Consider the following 25,727-nt stretch of genomic DNA (forward strand, 5'->3'; position numbering starts at 1 on the left):
GACCTCTCAGCTGAAATCCTACAAGCCACAAGACATTAGAGGCCTATGTTCAACATTCTTAAAGAAAAAGGTCTTCAAGGAAGAATTTCATATCCAGCCAAACTAAGCTTCCTAAGTGAAGGAGAAATAAGACCCTTTTCAGATAAGCAAATGTTGAGAGGATTCATTACTACCAGAAATGCCTTACACAAGGTCTTGAAAATAACCCTAAATATAGAAAGGCCACTACCAACAAATAAAAAAACACACTTAAACACACAGACCAGTTATCACTGTAAAGCAACCACACAAACAAGCCAACACAATAACCAGCTAACAGCACAATGACAGGATGAAATCCATGCCTATCAATACTAACCATGAATGTAAATGGGCTAAATGCCCCCACCTTAAAGGCACAGAGTAGCCAGTTGGATAAAAAACAAGACCCTATGGAATCCTGTCTTCAAGAGACCTATATCATGCATAATGACAGTCATAGGCTCAAAATAAAGGGATGGAGGAAATCTATCAAGCAAACAGAAAACAGAAAAAAGGAGGGGTTATAATACTAATTTCAAACAAAAGAGATTTTAAACCAACAAAGATGAAGAAAGACAAAGCAGGGCATTATATAATGGTAAAAAGTTCAATTTAACAAGAAGACCTAACTATCCTAAATATATATGCACCCAAAACAGGAGCACCCAGATTCATAAATCAAGTTCTTAAAGACCTACAAAGAGACATAGACTCCCACACAACAATAGTGGGAGACTTCAACACTCCACTGACAGTATTAGACAGATTATGGAGGCAGCAAATTAACAAAGATTTTCAGGACCTCAATTCAACATTGGATCTGATAGACCTTTACAGAATGCTCCACTGAAAAACAACAGAATATACAGTTTTCTCATTTCCACATTGCACATACTCTAAAATCAACCACACAGTTGAACATAAAACAATCCTTAGCAAATGTAAAAGAACTGAAATCATACCAAACACATTCTTGGACCACAGCACAGTAAAAATAGAAGTCAAGACTGTGAAAATCACTCAAAATCATGCAATTACCTGAAAATTAAACTACACTCTCCTGAATGACTTTTGGGGAAATAATGAAATTAGGCAGAAACCAAGAAGTTCTTTGAAAATAATGACAACAAAGATACCACATACCAGAAGCTCTGGGACATAGCTAAAGCAGTGTTAAGGGGGAAATTCATAGCAATAAATTTCCACATCAAAAAGACAGAAAGATCTCAAATTAACAACCTAACTTCACAACTGAAAAAAATTAGAGAAGCAAGAACAAATCAACCCCAAAGCTAGCACATGATGAGAAATAACGAAAATCAGAACTGAGCTGAAGGAAATCAAGACGTGAAAAACCATCAAAAGATCAATAAATCCAGGACTTGGTTTTTCGAAAAAAATTAATAAAGTAGGTCACTAGCTAGATGAATAAAGAAAAGTGAGAAGCTCCAAATAAACACAATTAGAAGTGACAAAGGGAATGTTACTACTGATTCCACAGAAATAAAAACAACTATCGGAAACTATGAACACCTCTACACACACAAACTAGAAAACCTAGAAGAGATGGATCAATTACTGGACACATACCCTCCCAAGACTAAGGATTTGATTCCCTGTATAGACCAATAATGAACTCTGAAATTGAAGTGGTAATAAATAGCCTACAAACTAAAAAAATGCCTGTGACCTGACAGATTCACAGCTAAATTCTACAAGATGTACAAAGAAGATCTGGTATCATTCCTAAAGAAATTAATCTAAAAAAAATGAGGAAAAGGGACACCTCCTGAACTCATTCTATGAAGTCAGAATCATCTTGATACCAAAATCTGGCAGAGACAAAATAAAAAAAGAAAACTTGGGGACAATATTCTTGAAGAACATTGATGCAAAAATTCTCAAGAAAATACTTGCAAACTGAATGCAGTGGCACATCAGAAAGCTAATCCACCACAATTAAGTAGGCTTCATCCCTAGGATATGACTCATCACATACACAGAACTAAAGACGAAAACCACATGATTATCTCAATAGATGCAGAAAAAGTTTTTGATAAAATTCAGCATCCTTCATGTTAAAAACTCTCAATAAACTAGGTATTGAAAAAACATACCTCAAAATAATAAGAAACATCTGTGACAAACCCACAGCCAACATTATACTGAATGGGCAAAAGATGGAAGCAGTCCCCTTGAAAACTTGCACCAAGTATGCCCTCTCTCACCAATTCTATTCTACATAGTATTGGAAGTCCTGACCAGAGCAATCAGGCAACAGAAAGAAATAAAGTGCACACAAATAGGAAGATAGGAAGTCAAACTATCTCTGTTTGCAGACAACATGATGCTGTATCTAGAAAACCCCATAGTCTCAGCTCAAAAGCTCCTCTAGCTGATGAACAACTTCAGCCAAGTTGCAGGATACAAAATCAATATACAAAAATTACTAGCATTCCTATACCCCAACAACAGCTGAACCAAGAGCCAAATCAGAAAGGCAATTTCATTCACAATTTTCACAAAAAGAATAAAATACTTAGCAATATAGCTAACCAGAGAGGTGCAAGATGATCTCTACAAAGAGAATTATAAAACACTGCTCAAAAAAATTAGAAAAGACACAAGCAAATGAAAAAACATCCCATGCTCATAAATAGAAAGAATTAATATCATTAAAATGGCTATATTTCCTAAAGCAATTTAGAGATTCAATGCTATTCCTATCAAATTACCAACGACATACTTTACAGAACTAGAAAAAATTATCTTAAAATTCATGTGGAACCAAAAAAAAAGCTCAAAGAGCCAGGGCAATTCTAAGCAAAAAGAACAAAGCTGGAGACATCATGTTACCCAACGTCAAACTATTCTGAAAAACTATAGTAATCAAAATAGCATGATACTGGCACACAAACAGGCACATAGGCCAGTGGAACAGAATAGAAAGGCCAGAAATGAGGCTGTAAATCTATGATCATCTGATCTTTGACAATAGTAAAGACATGGAATCAACCTAAATGCCCATCAATGACAGATTAGAAAAAGAAAATGTGGTACATATACACCATGGAATACTATGCAGCTATAAACAAGAACTAGATCACGTCTTTTGTGGGAACATGGATGGAGCTGGAGGCTATTATCCTTAGCAAAATTAACACAGGAACAGAAAACCAAATATTGCATGTTCTTACTTATAAGTGGTAGCTAAATGGTAAGAACTTACGAACACAAAGAAGGAAACAAGAGACACTGGGGTCTACTTGGGTGGGAAGGTAAAGAGCTGGGAGAAGAACAGAAAAGATAACTATTGGGTACTGGGCTTAATACCTGGGTGATGTCAATAATAATATGTACAACTAACCCCCATTACATGCGCTTACCTATGTAACGAACCTTCACATGTGCCCCCAAACCTAAAATAAAAATTTTTTTAAACTAAATAAAATAATGCCTCTTTACCTTAAAACCATTCATTTGGATTTTGGAATAGTTTCATAACTGAGAAAAAACTTTTAGAAAGGAGAAACTATTAAGTAAACTAGTTCTCCATGATATCCCCTTTTATTGGGTAGACTTCTTTGTATATAAAACTAAAAATGTGTCTGAGTTTTTCAGGGCCAAATAATATCACAAAAAGAATCTTTCAAATCATGAAACAATAATATTTGAAGTAATTCTTCTTCTTTCTTTCTTTTTTGGTTTTAATTGCTTTTTAGGTAGGTGATTGAAATCACTAAGTATGCCTGGATTTTCCAGTGTAAATAAATATTAATTTTGAACTTACAGAAAAACAAATTTCACTTTTTCGTCTAAATATTCAGTTATTGTATTTACTGGGAAATTTCCAGGAATGTTGCTATAACAGAAGGCTTTTAGCAAAAAGATTTATTTCTTTGAAGTAAGTATTAAGGAAAATATTCTGTATTGCTATCTTTAATACAAGCATGTTTAAAGGCTTATCTAAATTCTTCTTCGACTTCACTAATATATGAAGTAGAGCTCTCCTATTCACTATTCCAGAGTATGGTATTATAAAGACAGATTTTACTCCTCATTCTTATAATAATGATAATATTTAATATGTCAGGCATTTTGCTAAACATTTCACATGTGTTTCACCTAGCATTATGGGATACTTACTATTCTAGCCCCGTTTAACATATAAGTACCTTGAAAGTTGGAAATGGTATGTAACTTCCCAAAGACACAGGCAGGGAAAGGCAGAGCAGAGCCTTGCTCTTCACTTCTCTGGGACTCGGTTTCTTCGTCTGAAAAATAAGGTTGTTGGACTGGATTTCTTTTTATTATAAAATGTCATTATTCTGGGATTTTCAGAGACCCTTCAAAATAACTCAGAGCCATCTACATAAAGTAGTTTGGCTTACATAAAACTGAGATGTTATGGATAACTCTAGATTTTCATCATTCTAAGCATCTTAAAGGTCTTGATAAATTTGTTGTTAAAGTCTCATTACAGATATTTGAGGTCAGGCATGGTGCCTCAAGCCTGTATTCCCAGAACTTTGGGAGACCAATGGGGAAGAACTGCTTGAGCCCAGAAGTTCAAGATCAGTCTGGACAATGGAGCAAGATCCTCGTCTCTCAAAAAAAAAAAAAAAAAAAAACCCGCCAGGTGTGGTGGTGCATGCCTGTGGTACTAGCTATTTGGGAGACTGAGGTGGGAGAGGATCCCTTGAGACCAGGAGTTAGGCTGCAGTGAGCAATGATCACCCCACTGCACTCTAGCCTGTCCCCCAGCCTGTGTCAAAACAAAAATATTTGATAAAGGATTTCTGCTCTCATGCTTTTTTATTGATTTTTATTTTTTTTTGTTCTATCTTTAATGAATTGTCAGGGCCCAGTGAGGAAACAGAACAGATTGATGAATCTACAAATTAAGATCAGGTTGGCTGGGTGTGGTGGCTCACGCCTGTAATCCCAGCACTGTGGGAGGCCGAGGTGGGCGGATCACGAGATCAGGAGTTCAAGATCAGCTTGACCAACATGGTGAAACCCCATCTCTACTAAAAATACAAAAATTAGCCAGGCATGGTGGTGTGTGCCTGTAATCACAGCTACTCAGGAGGCTGAGGCAGGAGAATTGCTTGAAACCAGAAGGCAGAGGTTGCAGTGAGCCGAGATCGTGCCATTGCACTCCAGCCTGGGCAACAGAGCGAGACTCCATCTAAAAAAGAACAAAAAAAATTAAGATCAGGCTGAAGAAGTGGTCTTTCTAGCTGTGTTCAGGCCCCAAGCTCTAGCCTTTCGGCAGGTCGTCTACCTTTCAATCCAGAAATTAAATTTCACATGGTATCCACAGCTCTTACATTTGATCTAAATATCTCCTCAGATCCTGGTATGAGGAAATAGATTCAGATCTTATTTGATTGATTAATATACAAAGGGTTAATCAGGAGTACTAAAAACAAATGTCAAGTCAAGGCAATAATCAGGAAGCAGTAAATATCATGGTTTAGAAGTAAGCAAGGCTAGGGCTGCTAAGTTTCATATGAATCCGTTTGTTGCAAAACATCTAAGATGTCTATTATGTATAAATTGTTCATTTCATTCAGTGTTTTTTTTTTACGTTGCATTCTTATATGTCTCTCTTTTTTGCACAGATCCTCTCTTCACACTTGGAGTGTAAGTAATTTTAACAAAGGCAAAAAAGATCAGCCACTGTTGTTTATTGAACTACCATGTATTACATACTTTTCTATTTATTCTGATTTAAATCTTTAGACAATGTTGTGAGGACAGGAGTATTGTACTCATTCACCAAATCTCTTAGACCATTCAGAGTGCTATAACAAAATGTCTTAGACTGAGTAATTTATAAAAAATAGAAATATATTGCTTACAGTTTTGGAGGCTGGAAAGTACAAAAATAAAGTGCCAACAGATTTAGTATCTGGTGAGGGCTTACTCTCTGCTTCAAAGCTGTTGCCTTAATGCTGTGTCTTCACATAGTGAAAGGGACAAACAAGCTCTCTCAGGCCTCTTTATTTATTTATTTATTTTGAAACGTAGTCTTGCTCTGTCGCCCAGGCTGGAGTGCAGTGGCGCAATCTCTGCTCACTGCAAGCTCCGCCTCCCGGGTTCACGCCATTCTCCTGCCTCAGTCTCCCGAGTAGCTGGGACTACAGGCGCCTGCCGCCGCGCCCGGCTAATTTTTTGTATTTTTTAGTAGAGACGGTGTTTCACCGTGTTAGCCGGGATGGTCTCGATCTCCTGACCTCGTGATCCACCCGCCTCGGCCTCCCAAAGTGCTGGGATTACAGGCGTGAGCCACCGCTCCCCGCCTCTCAGGCCTCTTTATAAGGGTACTAATCTCACCCGTGAGGGTGAAGCCCTTGTGACCTAATCACCTTGTAAAGGCCCCACCTCCTAATAGTATTTTAATATGTAAATATTGAAGGGACACACACATACAGACCATAGCACTAAGTGACAAAACTGTGGCTCACAGAAGTCCATTATCTTTCCATTGTGTCATGATATGTATTCCTATATATAATTGTTTTCAGTTTTTAGAACTTACCTAAGCCTATAGCAAAATTATAAATGTAACATTAGAGTTCACAATATCTTAGACATTATCTTGCCTAATACCTTCCTTTAGAAATAGAGTCTGAGGCATGAGGACGTTAAGTGAGTTGCTCAAAATGGATATTTAACAAACACTTGTTGAGTGACTGAAGAACAGAAAGCAAAAGGAGAATTTACTTTATCTGCAATGAGATCTGATTCTATGAAACATAGATACAAGCCTATTGGGGGCAAAAATGTATGGGACATACTTTGATGAAAACATCCTTGGAGGTTACTGAATACCGGGATTATTTCAATTTAAGTTGTGACATAAATGGATTTAAAACTGCATTTCCATTCACTTTTGACAATAAGTCAGACAGCCTTGATTAAAGTGAAATGCTACACAAATGAACTCAAATGTAAGTGAAAATTTTCTGTAAACTATAGGAGAGCAAGAGCAACATTAAACACAGCAGTTTGAGTTTACAGGACTTTTTGTAAAATCCCTGGGCTATAAAACAAAATAAGCAATGATAATAAATAGTAATAGTAAAACTAATAGATCTATTATTGACATAATTTAATATTTCTCCCTCAGACAAAGATAAATAAAACATATTCATTGTTGCTCTTTGCTTCACACACTGTGCTAAAGAAAATACACTTTCCTGGATAGAGTTTCTTGTTTTTCCTTTTTGTTTATGTGTTAAGTTGCAGACAATGGAAATGTTTTGGCTCAGCTAAAATTTTCAATCTAGCCATTTCCATTGGTGAACAACACAGGATACAGCCAGGCAGTTAAGATTGCTGACAGCGTCCGTGTGCTTTCTTCCAAAGATCCTGTTCATAACCAAACCTCAAAGTTGGGCAAAAATAAGTGAAGTCTGGGCCCTTGAAATTTCATTTTTTCCATTAGGGAAAAAAAATGTCACATACAACCTCTATTGGAAAGCATTTGAAGCACTCTGGGACAAGCTTTTGTGAAATCGGTTCTTGCTAAAATTCATAAGCAGAACTGGAGCTAGATTGTATAAAATACTAAGGGTGGGGAAAGATAAATGCAACCAGAATACCCAGTCACGGCTTTGGGTTGCAGATTTGGGAACCACTGTGTCTTTCCACTGGAAGTAAAATGCCTGTGCTATTACTATTGTGAGAGAAACTGACTAACGACATCTCTGAGTTAGCAGGGCATATGACTGGGACCACAGAATTATAGTGTAGTGGGCCTGCCTTGCCTCAGGGTTTTCAGCTCTTGTGTTCGAAGTGTTCTTGTAAAATAAAAACATCCTGCACTGAAGCTAAAATAAATAAAGATGTATTTTGAATGGAACACTCACTCTTCTTGCCTTCCTTTCCAACTTCCCTGCCTGTCTAAAAGAAAAATATTTTTTATTTGTTGGTGACATAGAACCATGATTAATTGCTTCTAACACCAAAAATAGAACAGTAATCCTGCGACTCTCAGACACTGCAAAGCTGGTCTTGTTCATAAACTCAGAAGAGGCTCAGAAAATGTCTCAGAATAACCCATGATCCTGGCAGCAACAATTTTCCAACATAAATCTCAGTAGGAAATATGGCTTTCTGCTCTGTTCCTTTTACTATTCCTGTAGCTTGTTGCCTGAACTGGTAGAATTCTTCTGTGCAATCGCCCTACCATGGCTGTGAAAATAATGTTTCTACTTCCCAATTTTGTGTGTATGAGAACTAGAGAACAAGGTGATTGATGCTAATTCTCATCACCATTCCTACCTCACCTGTTTTTATTTAGTTTTCATGACCAGAGAAAAGATGGTAGACAGACCTAGGAACACCATAAACATGGAGCATTGTGCTTGGAGCATTAGGAATTAGATTGCCTTCACTAACTTAATTATAGCATGGTATACAGCACAGGGAAGAATGGAGCCCAGTTTAGATAAATGACTGCCTTTTCCATCTAAAGTTGGTCTATGAATATGGGTTATTAGCAATAAAGAACCAGTCTTGGGATAGATGTAATTCACAGATTCCACTAATAATGCAACATCCATAATGGGGTTTCGATACAAAATTCTCCTCATTCTCTCAGCTGCCACTGCAGGTTGTGTTTACCCCAAATCCACATGTCCCCAGGATCACCACAATTAGTATTTACATAGAAAAACAAAACTTCCTACTTGACTTGGACTAACGCTTCCAATGTGAGGGTCTGTTTTCGTGCAAGATTTGTGATCCTTCCTAGTGTAAGCCTGGCATTTTGGATGAAGTGTAGGATTTCCAGTTCACTAGCAAGTCTTTCTGTAATGTGAGCTGTCAGAGATTTTAGTCTCTACTTTAGTGCACAGAGGCGTAAGTCTGATTTGATGATGTGCCTCTTCTGTGAAGCTTTCAAATTCTCATTGATGGTTGCTGCTCTGCTGGCTTCTTTGCCCTCCCCTCACTTGATGGCACTTCCTTTAATAATTCAGGAAGCTTCTTGGTCAATAATTGCATGTTCATATCACAGGTAGTAAAATTGTTCTAAATTTTCTTCGTTAGTGAAAATGGCATGATTAAGACTTGTCTAGCACTCTACTTTTATTGAAAAGAGACATATACGCTAAAATGGAGTTGTTATAATCTGTCTTTTAAAAAGTAAGCAAAAAACTTTCTTAAAACTTTTGGCTTTAAAATGAGAGAATACAGCAAATTCAACAATCCATTCAGATTAAGTTAACTGCTTTTTTGTGTTTAAGTAGTCCAAATGGAACTTTCACATGTTTTCATTATTCAAACCCCTGTGACATTATTTCCCAGCAATTATGTACACTGCAGTTACGAGTGAAGAATAGGTCAACAGGATACCCTGACAAAGTAATGGAGAATGAAAAATAATCTGATTTGTCTCACTGGGGATGCTAGTTATATTAATTAGAGGAGGAGAGTCTTCTCTCTGTAGTTTCATTTTATCACGCTTTAAAGCAGACTGGGCTCCCCAGATTCAAATATAGAATTGCAAACTTTTTCTTCATTTTGGTTCCTGAAGCTGAGTCTTTGGTTTCAGATCACTTGTGTGTGAATCCTGGTTTTTCCTTGTTCTAGCTACATGCCCAAGTTACTTAACCTCTTTTAATCCTTAAGAGGTCAAGTTATTTCACCTCTTTTAATCTCCATCTATTCATTTGTGAAATGGAGATGACTGTAGTTCCTAATACATAGGGCTGTACTGGGGATTAAATGAGAAATGAGATGAGATCATCTTTATCATGATACAGGGAACAAGTAAGTGCTCAATAAATGTTACCTGTGGTTATAGTGTATTTCTGCACATATGGGTTTGTGAATTTCACCACTCAGGTAGCTGAATCAGTTTGAAAAGGACTGTCTTAAAATCATCAATGCATAAAGAGAGACGAATGATGAAGTGAAAAAAATAATCAAAGATATTTTAGAGCAACCTAGTAACAGTGTTTTATAATAAGTTTTGCTGTGGCCTCCCAGAGTGAATGTAATTTAAATTTTCTCTCATCTTTTTTGGCAATGAACAATAAGTTCATAATTTCTATTTTCCGTGGCTTCTCCATTTAAGTCTGACTTGGTAGGTCAACATTGATTATTTAAAAAATGGTTGAGCAAATTTATTTCTATTTTTTTGTTAATAACCTTATAGAGAATTTAAATCTATGGTCCATACTTCAAATTTGCTTTCTAGGATCTGGCTGATTAGAGCAGGAAAACAATCTTAAGCTCTTTCTTGACTAGTGACAGATTGCTGCTAATCTTCTCATTATATATAGCACATACAAATTTGCTGCTAAGCATTCATATATACATATATATACACATACACAACAATAAATATTCATATGTACACACACATTTATGATGTGAAAACTAATCCCAGAGTCAGTTTTGGGGTAAAGATAGTGTTTCAGTAAGATGTGAATTAAAACCATGGAAGCAAAGTTCTGTGTTAAAAAAAAAGGGGAGACTTTTTTTTAAGTAGCACAGAACAATAACAATAAAAACAACTGAATCTCACTAGAGCTAAAAATAGGTTTAGCGGTTTCATTCATTCAACATTTTTTTCCTGAATGCCATCTATGTGCCAGGCATTATGCTAGGATTTGGGAGTAAAAAATGAAAAGGATCTATTCACAAACATCTGTGTAAGAGACTTCCCAAGTAATGTGCCCAAGTTTATGCCTGATGAATAAGGCCAGAACATAAGTTCTCTGTCTCCAGAGTCCATGTTTTTCCCACAATACCAGGTTGCTTATTTTAGCAGACACTGTTGATGCCCTGTACCGATCCTCTCAGATCCCTTTTCCCAACTCTATGTGCTCATCTCCTAACTTCTGCATGTTGTGCTAGTAAAAGTTTGCACCTTTGACCTGAAAAGATTGCTCTTGGACACTGCAGTCTCCTTGCCTGAACAGAGTAAGAAATGTCTACAACTGGCCTTCCTCACGTTTCCCTAACACCCAAAAAACCTGGAGTGGCACATAGCCAATGATTGGTGTGGTATTATAAAAGTCCATTTCCTTTGCCACGAGGTAAAGCAAACTCTAAAGTGTAACTCATGCTCCAAAACTCTCCATAGGATGAGGTTGAGCCCTCACCTGAAATTTCTTGGTTAATTTTCCTTGTCTATCTTGCTGTCCCTACTTTATTACTGATTTTTTCCTGGGCATATTCTCACCACACAAATTTTCTCTTAGGGAGTGCTCCTGGAAGATTCTGAGTAAAGACATCTATATTTTGAGCTTTTTGTTTGTTTGATATTTTACTGTGGGTTTGTCTAAGTTTTAACTGAAAGATCATGGAAATAAGTTTTTATGAGATTTTTAGATCACATTGTGAAAATTAAATCAAAATTCATCATTTGACATGATAATTTAATTAATAAAATATGAGTGTAGTTTATTTAGTGACCTTGACCAAGTCATTTTATCTATTCAGGTATCAACTTGCTATAGATCGAATGTTTGTATCCCCGTAAAATTCATGTCGAAATCCTTACCCTCAATAAGATGGTATCTGAGAGTGGGGCCTTTAGGAAGTATTTAGGTCATGAAGGGGAGCCCTCATGAAAAACATCTTTACCCTTACTAAAGAGGGCCCAGAAAGCTGCCTTGCCCATTCAATAATGTAAAGGCACAGTGAAAAGATGGACATCTATGAAGCACGAAGTGGACCATCACTACACATTGAATCTGCCAATATCTTGATCAAAGACTTACAGTCTCCAGAATTGTAAGAAATAAATTTCTGTTGAATGTAAGTCACCCAGTCTATGCTGTTTTTGTTATAGCAGCCCATCTGGACTAAGGCAAGATTTTCCTTGTAAATATGAGTGTTATTTAGTCAAGTAGTCATCAAGGTCCTATAAGCCTCTAAAATTCAGTGAGCTACTAAATCTTTCTTAACCTATAATCATGTCAATTCACCATTTTGATGGAACCTATATACTTGAGGCAGATAATTTTGTGCTACCCAGTCACAGTCAGTTTATTAGCAGTTGATAGTTAAGGTAGACTACCTCTGTGTGAATATACAACCTGTGTAATGTAACATTTAATAACCTTTCTGCTTTAGAAGATATTATGGTTTTTATAAATACACATGTGTGGCATAGGATATAAATAACCTAGTGAATGTAAATACGATACTAAGTTCTTTAACATAAAGTGGCATGTGAACATTAAATATAATATGTACCATGTCATTCATGACACACAAAAATGATAGTTTAAATAACAGGCTATATGAACAGTATTCACATTTGTTTTGTTGTGTTTTGTTTTTTGAGACAGAGTTTTGCTCTCGTTGCCCAAGCTGGAGTGCGATGGCACGATCTCAGCTCACTGCAACCTCTGCCTCCTGGGTTCAAGTGATTCTCCTGCCTCAGCCTCCCAAGTAGCTGGGATTACAGGCCCCTGCCACCACGCCTAGCTAATTTTTTGTATTTTTAGTAGAGATGGGGTTTCACCATGCTAGCCAGGCTGGTCTCAAACTCCTGACCTCAAGTAATACACCCGCCTCAGCCTCCCAAAGTGCTGGGATTACAGGTGTGAGCCACTGCTCCCGGCCCAGTATTCACATTTTGACATTTTATTTTCATCTGAGTAACAAGGAAAAAGTAATTTAATGCTTTAATTTACCTTTTTTAATAGAGCAGATTTCCAGTAACAATCATCAAGTTATACTTTTATAGAACAGTAAACACATTAAAAGAACTGTTGTTAAAATTCATGTGCTACATTTGCAAAAAAAAAAGTTTCTATTTCAGCTTTTTCAATTAATGTAGCATGGTCATTGTCAATTTTAAGTGTTTAATATGTTATTGAACATGTCATATGAAACAGTATAATTCAGAATTTTACCCATTGTAAAGTACCTTTGCTTCAAAACGAGGCATAGTGCAGAATCAAATAGTGGAAACAGTGAATAATAAAACATTAAATTTCTGGCTGACATTAATTTCACCTATTCCTTGAATAATCTATTTATTCAATCCACAAATACTTAAGAAATAAAGCAACAAAATATATTTTACATTAATAATATAGTCCATGAGAGAGGATAAAGGGAATGAAATGAATGCATAAAAGATATACTCTACCTTACTCTCATATTCCACTCTCAGAAAAATAATATAAATAAAATAAACCTAAAAGGCTGTAAAATAATTCCATGAAAAAATTGATTAGGTGATGAGCTTGTTTTATCTGAAGGCAGCATAGGAATAAAATAAAAAAAGTTCTCAAAGGACAAATGGAAAATCTCTCACTGGACGTTTTTTTGGAGGCTTTGACTATTGGCCATCAAGACCACATTATCATATTTTGTGTATGCTTCACAACACACAATTAGGCAATTTTTAAGGCAATTTTTTAGGTCACCACAACTAGAAATCACATGAACTCTGCTCAGCAATAAGGTGTTCCCAGAACAGATTTTCAATGCACTACTGGATTTCTCCATTCAGCTGGATGACCCTGAGGACTGACCACTGTTAGCCAGCAGGTTGTCCAGCTTTTTATTCCAGTCGCAATAAGGTGATAGTGTTAACCATGAAAACTTGAGAGGCACCCCATCCTCCTTCCAATTACAGCCTGTACCACCTTGCTCGGGACCTCTGCTCCTAGTTAGCAAGGAGGGCTGCAACAGTTGTTATTGCTTATTCTGAAAGAAATGTAGAACTTGACAGCAGCCGTCTGAGTTTGGGTCAGGAAGATGCTCTTAGGACCAAAGCAGACTTCTTTACACACAGCTCAGTTTCCAGGAAGTCGCCACAGATGTGCCCAATATCCCAGGTTCCTGTCACTCAATCAGCAGAAGCTACCATTATGCCTTTTGTTCCTACTGGCAGAGGGAGGAGTATATTTCATCACTATGATCAGTAATGACTTGTGGACCATCCTTGAAGAGCAAGAAATGCAATGTAGAGGCAAGTCTATAATAGAAAGATACAGTATAGCAGTACTCAACCATTTTATTTATGTGCTTCTCACATTTCTTATGACCCATGGAAAGAATGGTCCACTGACTCTCACAAACAATACTTAGCAAACTAATCAGATATCTCAACACTCTTGGTATTCATGAAAATGTCTGAGGACAAATATGCGTGAGAGTTTTAACTAGAGAAGTAACCATATGCTATGGTTGGATATTTAACTGCTCCAAAACTCATGTTGAAATGTGATCCCCAATAGTGGAGGCAAGTTCTTTTTTTTTTTTTTTTTTTTGAGACAGAGTCTCACTGTGTCAGCCAGGCTGGAGTGCAGTGGCCCCTGATCTCGGCTCACTGCAAACTCCACCTCCCGGGTTCACGCCATTCTCCCGCCTCAGCCTCCCAAGTAGCTGGGACTACAGGCACCCGCCACCACGCCCGGCTAATTTTTTGTATTTTTGTAGAAGAGACGGGGTTTCACCGTGTTAGCCAGGATGGTCTCGATCTCCTGACCTCGTGATCCACCCACCTTGGCCTCCCAAAGTGCTGGGATTACAGGCGTGAGCCACCACGCCCAGCCTGGAGGCAGGTTCTAATGGGAAGTGCGTGGGTCATGGGGGTGAAGCCCTCATGAATAGATTAATGCCTTCCAGGGGGTGCGGGCAGAAGGTGAGGCAGAAAATGATGATGTAGAAGCTGCAGCAAGTTATCCACAAAATCCAACTAAGATAATTGATGGAGGTGGCTACACTAAATAACACATTTTCAGTCTAGACCAAACAGCCGTCTATTGGAGGAACATATCATCTAGGACTTTCATAGCTAGAGAGAAGTCAATACCCTTTGTTCCTGATGGAAGAGGGAAGAGTATATTTCATTGTTCTATTAGTTTCCACAAGAGCTGGTTGTCAGCAAGAGCTTGGCATCTGCCCTTTTTCGTGCTTCCTCTTTCCACGTGCTCTCTGTAGGCACTGACTCCCTTTGCCTTCTGCCATAAGTGGAAGCAGCTTAAGGATTTCACCAGATGCCCAGTCTTCCAGTCAGCAGAATCATGAGCCAAATAAACTTTTGTTTTTATAAATTACCCAGCCTCGGGTATTCCTTTTTAGCAATGCAAATGAACTAAAGTACCATCTATTTTACTTTTTTAAAAAGGTAGATCTCTACTGTCATACCACAAAGATATTATGGGTTTAGTTACAGACCCTGCAATAAAGTGAACAATGAAATTAAAAATTTCCAAAAATTTTTGTTTTCCCAGTGGATATGCAAGCTATGTTTGCACTATACTGTGCTCTATTAAGTGTGCAATAGCATTATGTCTAAGAAAAAAATGTACATACATTAATTAAAAATACTTTATTGAGAAAAAATGCTAATGATTATCTCAGCCTTCAGGTGAGAATCTTTTTGCTGGTGGAAGATTTTCCCTCAGTGTTGATGGCTGCTGACTGACAAGGGTGGTGTTTGCTGAGGGCTGGGGTAGCTGTGGCAATTAATTAAAACAAGACAACCATGAAAGTTGCCACATTGATGGACTCTTCCTTTTGTAAAAGATTTCTCTGTAGCACCTGATGCTGTTCGATAGCATTTTACCCATAACAGAAATTCTTTCAAAAATTGGAATCAATCCTCTCAAACCTTGCCACTATTTTATAAATGAAATTTATAAAATATTCTAAATCTTTTTTGTGTGTGTGTGGTTTCAACAACATTCACAGAATCTTCACCAGGAGTAGATTTCATCTTAAGAAACTGCTTTCTTTGCTCATCCATAAGAAGCAATCTTCATTTGTTCATATCTTCTCAAGACATTGTAGTAATTCAGCCACATCTTCAGGCTTCACTTCTCATTCTAATTCTCTTGCCATTTCCCGCACATCTGAAGTAACTTCCTCCACTAAAGTCTTCAACCCCTCCAGTCATCCATGAGAGCTGGAATCAACTTCTAAACCCTTCTTAATACTGATAATTTGACTTCTTCCCATGAATCAAAAGTGTTCTAAAGGGAATCTAGAATGGTTAATTCTTTCCAGAAAGTTTTCCGTTTGCTTTGCCCAGATTCATCAGAAGATTCACTATCTATGGCAGCTAAAGCCTTATGGAATGTATTTTTTAAATAATAAGAATTGAAAGTCAAAATTACTCCCTGATTCATGGGCTATGGAATGGATGATCTCCATCAGAGTTCTTGGGTGACTAGGCACAATGTCAATAAGCAGTAATATTTTGAAAAGAATCTTTTTGTTTTGAGCAGTAGGTCTCAATAGTTAGCTTAAAACATTCCGTAAACCATGATGTAAACAGAAATGCTATCATCCAGCTTTGGTTTTCTATTTATAGATCACAGGCAGAGTAGAGTTATCATCATTATTGAAAGCCCTTGAATTTTCAGGATTATAAATGGGCATTGACTTCAACTTAAAATCACCAGCTTCTTTAGTTGCTAACAAGAGAGTTAGCCTGTCCTTTAAGCTTTGAAGCAGGGGATTGACTTTTCTCTAGCTGTGAAAGTCCTAGATGATATGTTCCTTCAATAGACGGCTGTTTGTCAACACTGAAAATATGCCGTTTAGTGTAGCCACCTCCATCAATTATCTAAGCTAGATCTTGTGGATAATTTGCTGCAGCTTCTACATCAGCATTTTCTGCCTCACCTTGCACTTTTATGTTATGGAGATGGCTTCTTTCTATAAAGTTCCTGAACCTCTGCCAGGGTTCAACTTGTCTTCTGAAACATCCTCACCTTTTTCAGCCTTTATTAGAATTAAAGATAGTTAGGGCCTTGCTCTGGATTAGGCCTTGGTTTAAGAGAATGTTGTGGGTGGTTTTATCTTCTGTACAGACCATTCAAGCTTTCTCCATATTACAAATGAGACTGTTTCACTTTCTTACTATTTGTGTGTATATTGGAGTGGCACTTTTAATTTTGTTCAAGAACGTTTTCTTTGCATTCACACCTTGTCTGACTGGCACAAGAGGCCTAGTTTTGTCTTATCTTGGCTTTTGACATGGCTTCGTCACTAAGCTCAATAATTTCTAGCTTTTTATTTAAAGTGAGAGAGGTATGACTCCCTTTCATTTGAGCACCGAGAGGCCATTTTGGGGTTATTTAGTGACCTAATTGCAATACTGTCATGTCTCAGGGAAGGAGGCCCAAGGAGAGAGAGAAAGAGATAAGAGAAGGGCTGGTCAATGGAGCAGTCAGAACTCACACATTTATTGATTAAATTTGTCCTCTTATATGGGTACTGTTTTTGGTGTCTCAAAACAATTACTAGGTTGGCGCAGAAGTAATTGCCATTACTTTTAATTACTTTTAATGGCAAAAACCGCAATTACTTCTGTGCCAACCTAATACAATAATAACATCAAAGGTCACTGAACACAGATTATCATAGCAGATATAATATTAATGAAAAAGCTTGAGATATTGTGAGAATTGCCAAAATGTGATACCGAAACAAGAAGTGAGCACAGGCCGTTGGAAAAATGGTGCCACAGACTTCCTCAAAGTAGGGTTGCCCCAAACATTCAATTTGTAAAACATGCAGTATCTGCAAAGTGCAATAAAGTGAAGTGCAATAAAACAACGTGTGCCTGTATATAGACTGCTCATAAAATCTAGAAATATCAACAATATATAGAATGCCACCAAGGGCACCTCAATGCAAATAATGATGAAATAATACCTTTTTTTCAGACTCTAAGGTTAGTCTGAAGATTGATATGGAATGCTTTTCTAAATGGATTATTAATTGGCAGACAAAGCAAATAGCAAAACAATATGTACTTTACTATTGCATTTACATAAGTCAAGTTCACATTTACATTCATACAAAATTAACTTACAATTAGGTTATATAATAGTGGGCATGATGGAGAGGATTGAAGAGAAGGCACAAGAGAATGCCATTTTGACGACATTGTTTGAAATGTTCACAGTGAGAACATAGTCATAGAGCACCAGTTTAGTATTTTGATTCTGATCACTAACAAAATTTTAATTCTGACCAGTAACAACATTTTTGCAAAATTCTTCAGAACTTCCCTATGCTCCAGGCTCTCCATCCAGAAAATAACGATTTCTGAGGTTCTGTCCTACTTTAGTATTTTAATTGTTTATGGAGTGATCAGGAGTTAGGAGGCACACGTCAACCCAGCTGGCCCATGCTGTCTCTTAGAACTCTGCATTTGGTAATTATATAAAATGACACAATGTTTTCAACAGGAGAAAACATTGCTAAGAAAACTCCTTAATAATATGTCCACACATGACACTTCCCTCTAGCAGAGGGATGAGGCCCCAGCACTACTGAGTTTCAAGACTTTCAAGATAAGACACAGAGTGAAAAATGAGGCTACCACCAACGTGGAGCATGGGGGTTTCACAGATAAGATCCCTGACCCTCCTCCAGTCCCAGGAGACCCCAGAATGATTGAGACTGAGTTGCCCCCTGACTTCTGCCTTGTGTTTGCAGGGAGGTGTGAGACTTGTTCTGAGGAGTGCTGGTTCAGGTCAGCAGAGGGAGGAGTCCCAGACTCTGCCAGGAGTTAAGGTAAGATTCTGAGTGAGAACTGAGGTGACCACCCATTTCAGAAGGGAAGGGGTTACTCAGAACTCTGTTGTGACCTCTGGGAGGGTGAGAGTTTGTGGGTAGTGTCTTTCCTTGACTTTTGCTTCACTAGTCTGACAATGGCGAATGCCTTTATCTGAGAGGGGAGGCCTTATTCAGCAGAGAGAGGAATCTCAGACACTTCCAAGAGTCAAGGTAAGATGCTGAGTGAGATCTGAGTGGACCTCTACCCCCAAATGAAGAAGGCCCCTCACAACTCTGTCGTTCTCCCTGCAGAAAGGAGGAATGGCCTTAAGTGGTTTTTCTTGTCTTTTGCTTGGAGAGTGAGAGAATGGTGAGTACCATAGTCTAAGAAGTGTGACCTTCAGTCTGCAGAGGCAAGAATTTCAGCCCCTGCCAAACATCAAGGCAAGACACTGAGTGATGACTGGGGAACCACACACTCCAGAAGATCCAAAGAGCCCTGTCCCTGCTATCAGATCTGGTATCTGGTAGGGCATAGAATAGCTATCAGACTTTAGTGCTTTCTGGTTTTGTCTTTAGTAGTCTGAGGGTTGCCGTGTCAAGTCAGCAGAGGGAGGCATCCTAGCCCCTTTAAGGGGCAAAGTGATAACCCTGAGTGATGACCGAGAGAATCACATACCTCAGAACAGCAAAATCTGTACAGACAACTGCCACTTGCTGTCACCTCTGGGAGGCCCAAACAGGTATGGCCTAATGAGAAGCCCTCTCACTTCCTTCCTGTAGAATCTGTTGCCCCTCTGGCTTTCCTGGCTTAAAGGTTCTAGAAAAAGCTGTTGAGAGTCTGGGGTACTCCCTCAATTCCATCTACCTTAAATATCTCAGGGAAATTAAGAGCTCTTTCTGAGGTGATAGCTCTTGGGTCAGTAGAGGTGGGAGTCCCAGATACTCCCTTGGGTCACAGTGAGGATTCTGAACAAGGACAGAGGGAACCACTGACTGCAAAACGAAGGGATTCCACAGAGCCTCATATGTCCTGTGGTCAGCTCTGGGAATCTTTGTGCTGAGTTGACCAGCGGCACCCTGAAAAGCATCCTCATTTCCTCCTTTAGCTTCTTACAGGTCAGAACAGGAGACCTGTGAGGCTCTAGAGCACTGCCCTCAAGAAAAAAACTGCTGGAGGCAGCATTTATTGGAGCCACCAACCGTTGAGTTTACCAGATGAGGCCATTCACATCTTCCCTCTATCCCCAAGTTGGGCTTCACTGTCATCTAGCTTCCTGCCCACATTCCTGCCTGCTACCACCTTCAAGAGTAACCATGTCTCAGAGTCAGGAGAATCTGCATTGAACACGTGAACACCACCATGCCTGAAGTGAGACCCAGGGCCTAGAGGTTGTGCAGGTATCCAAGATTATGGAGGATACATTTCCCTCCTCCTCCCATTTTCTAATGCCTCGCAACCTGGAGGTGTTCTCTGCTGCTGAGACACCCTGTACACTCCAGGGTCTTCGAAATGCCTGTTCATCTTCCACTGTCAACACTGCCACTTCAACAAGCCAGTCAAATGAGAGCTCCAGCAGCCAAGAAGAGGAGGATAGTACAGCTTCTTTAGAGTCTTCACAAGACACTGAGAACCTGCCTATTGACCCTGTAGATGAGAAGTGACTGTGCTGATGCAGTTCCTTCTGCAAAAATATCAAACGAAAGAACTGATCACAAAGGCAGACATGCTGGATATTGTCATCAACGAGTACAAGGATGAATTTCTTGAGATCTTCAAGAGAGCTTCTGAGTGCATGGAGCTGGTCTTTGCTGTTGATGTGAAGGAGGTTGATCCCACCAGCCACAGTTACTCCCTTGTCAACAAACTGGGCCTCACCTATGATGCAAGGCTCAGTGGTGATGAGGACATGCCTAAGATTGGCCTCCTGATTATCACCCCGAGTGTGATCTTCATGAAGGGCAACTGTGCCTCTGAGGAGGAGATCTGGGAAGTGCTGAATATGGTGAACTTATATTCCAAGGGGAGATACTTAATCTTTGGTGAGCCAAGGAAGTCTATCACCAAAGATCTGGTGCAGGAAAAGTACTTGGAGTACTGCCAGGTGCCCAACAGTGATCCTCCATGCTATGAATTCCTGTGGGGTCCAAGAGCCCATTCTGAAATCAGCAAGATGAGATTGCTGGAGTTTTTTTTTTACCAGGATTCATGAGTCTGACCCCAAGTGCTTCCCATCTCAGTATCAGGAGGCTCTGAGAGATGAATCAGACAGAGCCCAAGCCACAGCTGCAGCTAGGGCTAGCCCTACTGCCATGGCCAAGGCAAGTTCCAGGACCAGGTTCAGCACCTTCTCCCACCCCTAGTGTAGTCTGAAGCAGATTCTTTATTTTTTCTTTGAAGAGAGTCATCAGCCTTCTAAGTAGTGGAGGCTTGAGGTGGGGCTGTAGGGGAGATAGTATATAACATCTTCATATCCCTGTTCTAGATGGTGAACTTGGAGGCTTTTCTTTTGGAGGGGGGCAGTAGATTTCAAATGCTGTTACTTTTAATATGACATTTCATTAGCTTCAGAATCTACATTTATGAATGACATTGTTCATATATTTATTACCATTTTTGAAGTTTAAGAATACAAGTTTTGCTGGTTTGTAAAATAAACTATGAAACAGATCATTTTATTTTTTTATTTGGGAAAAGATAATGCAGCATTATAATAGACATTTCCTTGCAACTGTGAACTCAGCAGCAAAGTAGTTGGGACAAAGAAAAAAAAACCTAAAAGATGGTCAATTCTTGTTTTTGCCTATCTCTTTTAGTTTTTCTGTGAAACTACATGATACATATATGCATTTGCTTAGCTTATTTAAGAATGTATAAGACATAAATCTTAATAAATCAGACCCTGTGTACATTGGTTCATTTATTTCCCAAACATTAAGTGAACATGTCTTTTTTGTAAAGCACTTTACTGGGGATGCTAAGAGAAGCAAGATGCACTACCTGCCCATAGAACTTTAGAGTGCAAGAGCAGCAGTCATATGAAGATGATGGTGAGTATCCTTTATTCAATACAAAATAAAAATTAAAAAAGAGTCAGGAGGTGTGGCAGGGTAGGGGGATCTATATGAGAGCGCTAAAATTTAAATACCCTGAGTCAAGGCAGGCAGAGGCCTTTGGAAACTGCAAGTCTTTCATTGGGGGTAATTTTAAATTAACCGGGGTAGTACACTAGATGAGGCTGTGGGAGTGACGAGCAGGGGCCGGACCCTCAGTGTTGAGATAATTAAGCCTAGAATGGAAAACTGTTGTTAGCAGTAGTTACTTTGAGATTATGCATAAACCAGATAGCACCTGAAACAAGAATGGTAGGTGTCCTGTGTGTTTGTCCCAGTGCTGTTGAAGACAAGACAGTGCACAAATTAGATATTTTATGCACATCGTGTTCAAAGAGTTTACGCAAAATAAGGGTGATACTTTCTTGAGGTGAGATACGCAGAAGTCACTGGACTGGAAGTCTGCCAAGGGCTGGGAGATCCAGAGTCCACTCCATTCAAAGAACATTTTAAATAGGTTATGTTGAATATAATTTGGCAACTGTAAGCATGGCCTACATTTTTTTGTTTGAGAGAATGGATGAAATCAGAGATGGGTTGCTGGAAGGGCAACTGGAGGGAGGAAAGGGCTTGGTTTTTGACACAATTTCTAGGGGATTTCAAGTGCACTTATTTGGGAAATACTCCCCCAAAGCCAAATTAAATAATATATACTGTAATGGTGAAGATTTACTGAAGATTTCATGCTAGGTAAAGTTTTTGGCTGATTTGGTGTGCCATGTCCTAGAGTATTGAATATCTTCTGACATCTCCTGGATAAACAAATCCCAGATGAGAAAGTGGTTGTGTCTGTGGTCAAAAATAATCATAGTACTAACTGCCAGTCAGTGAAGACCCAATACATTCCAGATGCTTTGGCAGATGCTTTACCTACAGTATGTGCATTCCAACAGTCTTATATACAAGCCAGGATTTATCAAGACTATCTAACAGAGGAAGATGGTAAGACACCGAGAGCTTGGTAGTATGTCCTATTTCACATGGTATGTGAAAGAGCTAGCACTGGACCTCTGGTCTGAATTTTTCTAAAGCCAGCACTGTTACACTCCTCCCAGCCTGAAGGTGACATTCTGTCTGTTAATTCATTCCTTTTCTCCTGACTCTATAATGCCTCTCAGAGGATAAAAAGAAGGACCACAAGGTACTACTAAGCCAAAGCACTAAAAGCAGGTGTAGAGAAAGAATGTGAAAATGAGAATCAAAAACAACTGGGAATTGTTTATAGGATTCATTTACCTAAAGTACTGCTGCTCCTAGCCCCAGAGTGTCTTGAGAACTGACTCTGCTCAGGAGCTGGCACAGGTTTGCAGTCCCACTACTTTTGCACATTACAGCACCCTTTCCCTAGATCTTACCCTGTATTCTTTCCTTTCCAAATCTGGAACCTGTCCTGCCGACCAGCTTTTTGCTGTGCGCTCGTGTAAAGGTTGTACCTGCTTCCAGTGGAACAGGCGGCCCAAAATCACCTTCCTTCTTTCTAACATAACTACAATAACCAAAACTTCGTGCAGACATCTCCTGGTGTACCCTCACTCATGCAATCCCTCAGATGGCAACAGTCCCCTTCTATATGAAGTTTTCTTGAACAGTGATGTTTAGGCACATAGTCATCCCCATGGACATCATCACCACATTCTCAAAGCATTTTATAGTTGGGCTGGTTAGTAGAGTCAAATTTGGCAAAGAATATACTGGTTCTTGGGATGCAAATGTAAAGTTAGAGAAGTTTCTAAAACCATCTTGATATTTGCAGTAGGATTTTAATGCAGTATTGCATTTGAGACTGGTCACTGAACATACACAACAATAAGTGAGCTTTTCTAGGTGGTCAAAATCCAAAGACTCCCCCTTAAGTGGTAGAATAGGAAAGACCATAGAAAATACTGTATAAACAAAACTCTGTAAATCCTGAGTCTGAATTTTGGTAAACTCTGGAGTTCCTCTAGGGGGTAGAAGAAATGGAGATGTCAAGAATTGATTTTTTTGTCCTATATGTTAGCTTTAATTTAAAAAAAAGGAAAAAAAAAAACCTCACTATCCTTTTATTACCTCTTGTCTGTGTACTTTCCCCAGAAAAAAAATCCTGGTTTTCCATATGTCTAATGGCACCTGTACAGATGTTCAGGCAGGAGCATTAGGGTGATATGCAGCAGGGGCTTCCACGTTAAGAGTATGACCATGCAACAAATGCAAGGAGAAAATACTCAGTCTACTGATATTATAGAAGTTATTAGACAGGGAAGTGCAGGAAGGTACTATTGAATGAAGAAGGATGAACCCTTTCTTCAGAGATTTAAAGCATTCTTTTGAAAAATATATGTAATTCTCTATTTGAAAGCATCTGTCACATAATAAAATCTTAAGAAAGTTGGCAAAATGCAAGGCCAATTTGGCCTTCTCAGAAACCCCTCCAGGAAACAAAGAGGGTTGTTGTCCTAACAAAGTGTAATAATTGCTCTTTTTTGAGCACCTGCTATGTAACAGGTAATGAGAGATCCTGCAAGTGCTCATCCACATACTGTCTTGATTTATTTCCTGGGTGCATGGAAAAACTACATTGCCTAGTTCACTTGTAGTTAGGAAGGGTCATGTGACTATCTTTGCCACTGATATATGAGCAGAAGCAATATTTGCCATTTATAGGCCAAGACATGTGAAATCCAGGTGGCTGCCTCTATTTTTTTACCAGTCAGTAGCAAATATGGAGAGCTCATGTCGAGATATGGAACTACTGATGGAAACAGCTTGGATTTGTGAGTCACCTGGTGGCAAAGACCCACTGCCAAATTACGTAAGATTTTATGTGAACAAACAAATAAACTTCTGTTGTGTTAAGCCATTCAGATTTCAGGTTTTTGTTTTGCATCAGCTAGCAGTTCCTTCATCTAATACTGACATACTGTTTATGTTGATAAGCTTATTTAAATCTTTTAACAGCAAAGCTAATAGTAATGCATATATTCTTGTTCCAAGTATTTCTTACAGCATACATAAATCAATTCCCTCCCTCTATAATGTTCCCTCAAAATTCAACTTTCTCCTCAGAGGGAATTACAATTAAAAAACCTAGTATGTATAATTTTAAAAATAATGTTAAGCTTTTTAATATATAGATTTGCTATAAAATATATTGTAATGTTTTAACGTAATGGGTAGTGATATACATATTGTTCTTCCACTTGCCTTTGTCAGTTAACAAAGTGACCACAACATCATTCCGTGCCAGCATGTGTAAATCTATCTCACTATTTTATCTACTTTCTTGAAATTCTAAAGTAAGTTCCCAATATAATTTAACAATTCTCTTTCTGATGGACACATAAGTAGTTTCCCATTAGTTGATATAATTAATAGAACTGAAATAAACATCTTCAAACATCAATATTTTGGCAAGTGTGAATAAGAAAAACATAGCAAAGCAGAAGCTGAGATAGAGCAAATTTATTTTTTAATATTGCCAAAATGTCATCCCACAAATATTCTACCAATTCATATTCTCACAAATTAATTTATGCAAATACTGTGCACTCTCACAGACATTATTTTTTCTTTTTCAATTTCATTTTATTTTAGATTCAGGAGGTACCTGTGTAGGTTTGTTACATGGATATATTGTGTAGTGATGGGATTTGGGCTTCTAGTGTACCCATCACCCAAATAGTGTACACTGTACCCAGTAGGTAAATTTTTAATGCTCAGTCTCCTCCCAGACATTGTTTTCAATCCTTTAACCTTTAGTTAAACTTATATGTTGAAAGATAATGTCTTACAATTATGTTAATTTAATTTTAATATCATTATTTTAATTTGTTTAATGTTTTCTAATTAGACTTAGCAGAAAATTGCCTACTACTTCACACATGTAAAGCTGGATTTCTGCAGTAATATTCTGAATCACAAGATTCCTCAGGCCATTCTTTAAAATTCTAATGTCTCAGCCAAGGCCACAGGAGACAAAAAAAATTATGATGCCTAAAAGATATTTCCCCTTTGTACTGGAAAGCAAGCATTTGTCAGTATGACTGAATGCCAGGGAAGGAGGCCACACATGACACTCTCAGCTAGTGAGGAGTATCAAGAAGAAAGGG

General features: G+C 38.4%; 1 pseudogene, besides 1 other annotated feature; it reads left to right on the top strand.

Annotated features, from left to right (window-relative positions):
• Nucleotides 6,035–6,242: a silencer, noted in NCBI's record as "fragment chrX:35063242-35063449 (GRCh37/hg19 assembly coordinates)". NCBI's record gives its function as "represses an EF-1alpha promoter that drives an FKBP-Casp9 reporter gene in an ReSE screen in K562 erythroleukemia cells {active_cell/tissue: K562}" and the evidence as "EXISTENCE:reporter gene assay evidence [ECO:0000049][PMID:32094911]".
• LOC392440 (MAGE family member B18 pseudogene) lies at nt 19,876–20,883 on the top strand (annotated as a pseudogene).

The sequence above is a fragment of the Homo sapiens genome, chromosome X (assembly GCF_000001405.40).
Source record: "Homo sapiens chromosome X, GRCh38.p14 Primary Assembly".
Taxonomy (NCBI): domain Eukaryota; kingdom Metazoa; phylum Chordata; class Mammalia; order Primates; family Hominidae; genus Homo; species Homo sapiens.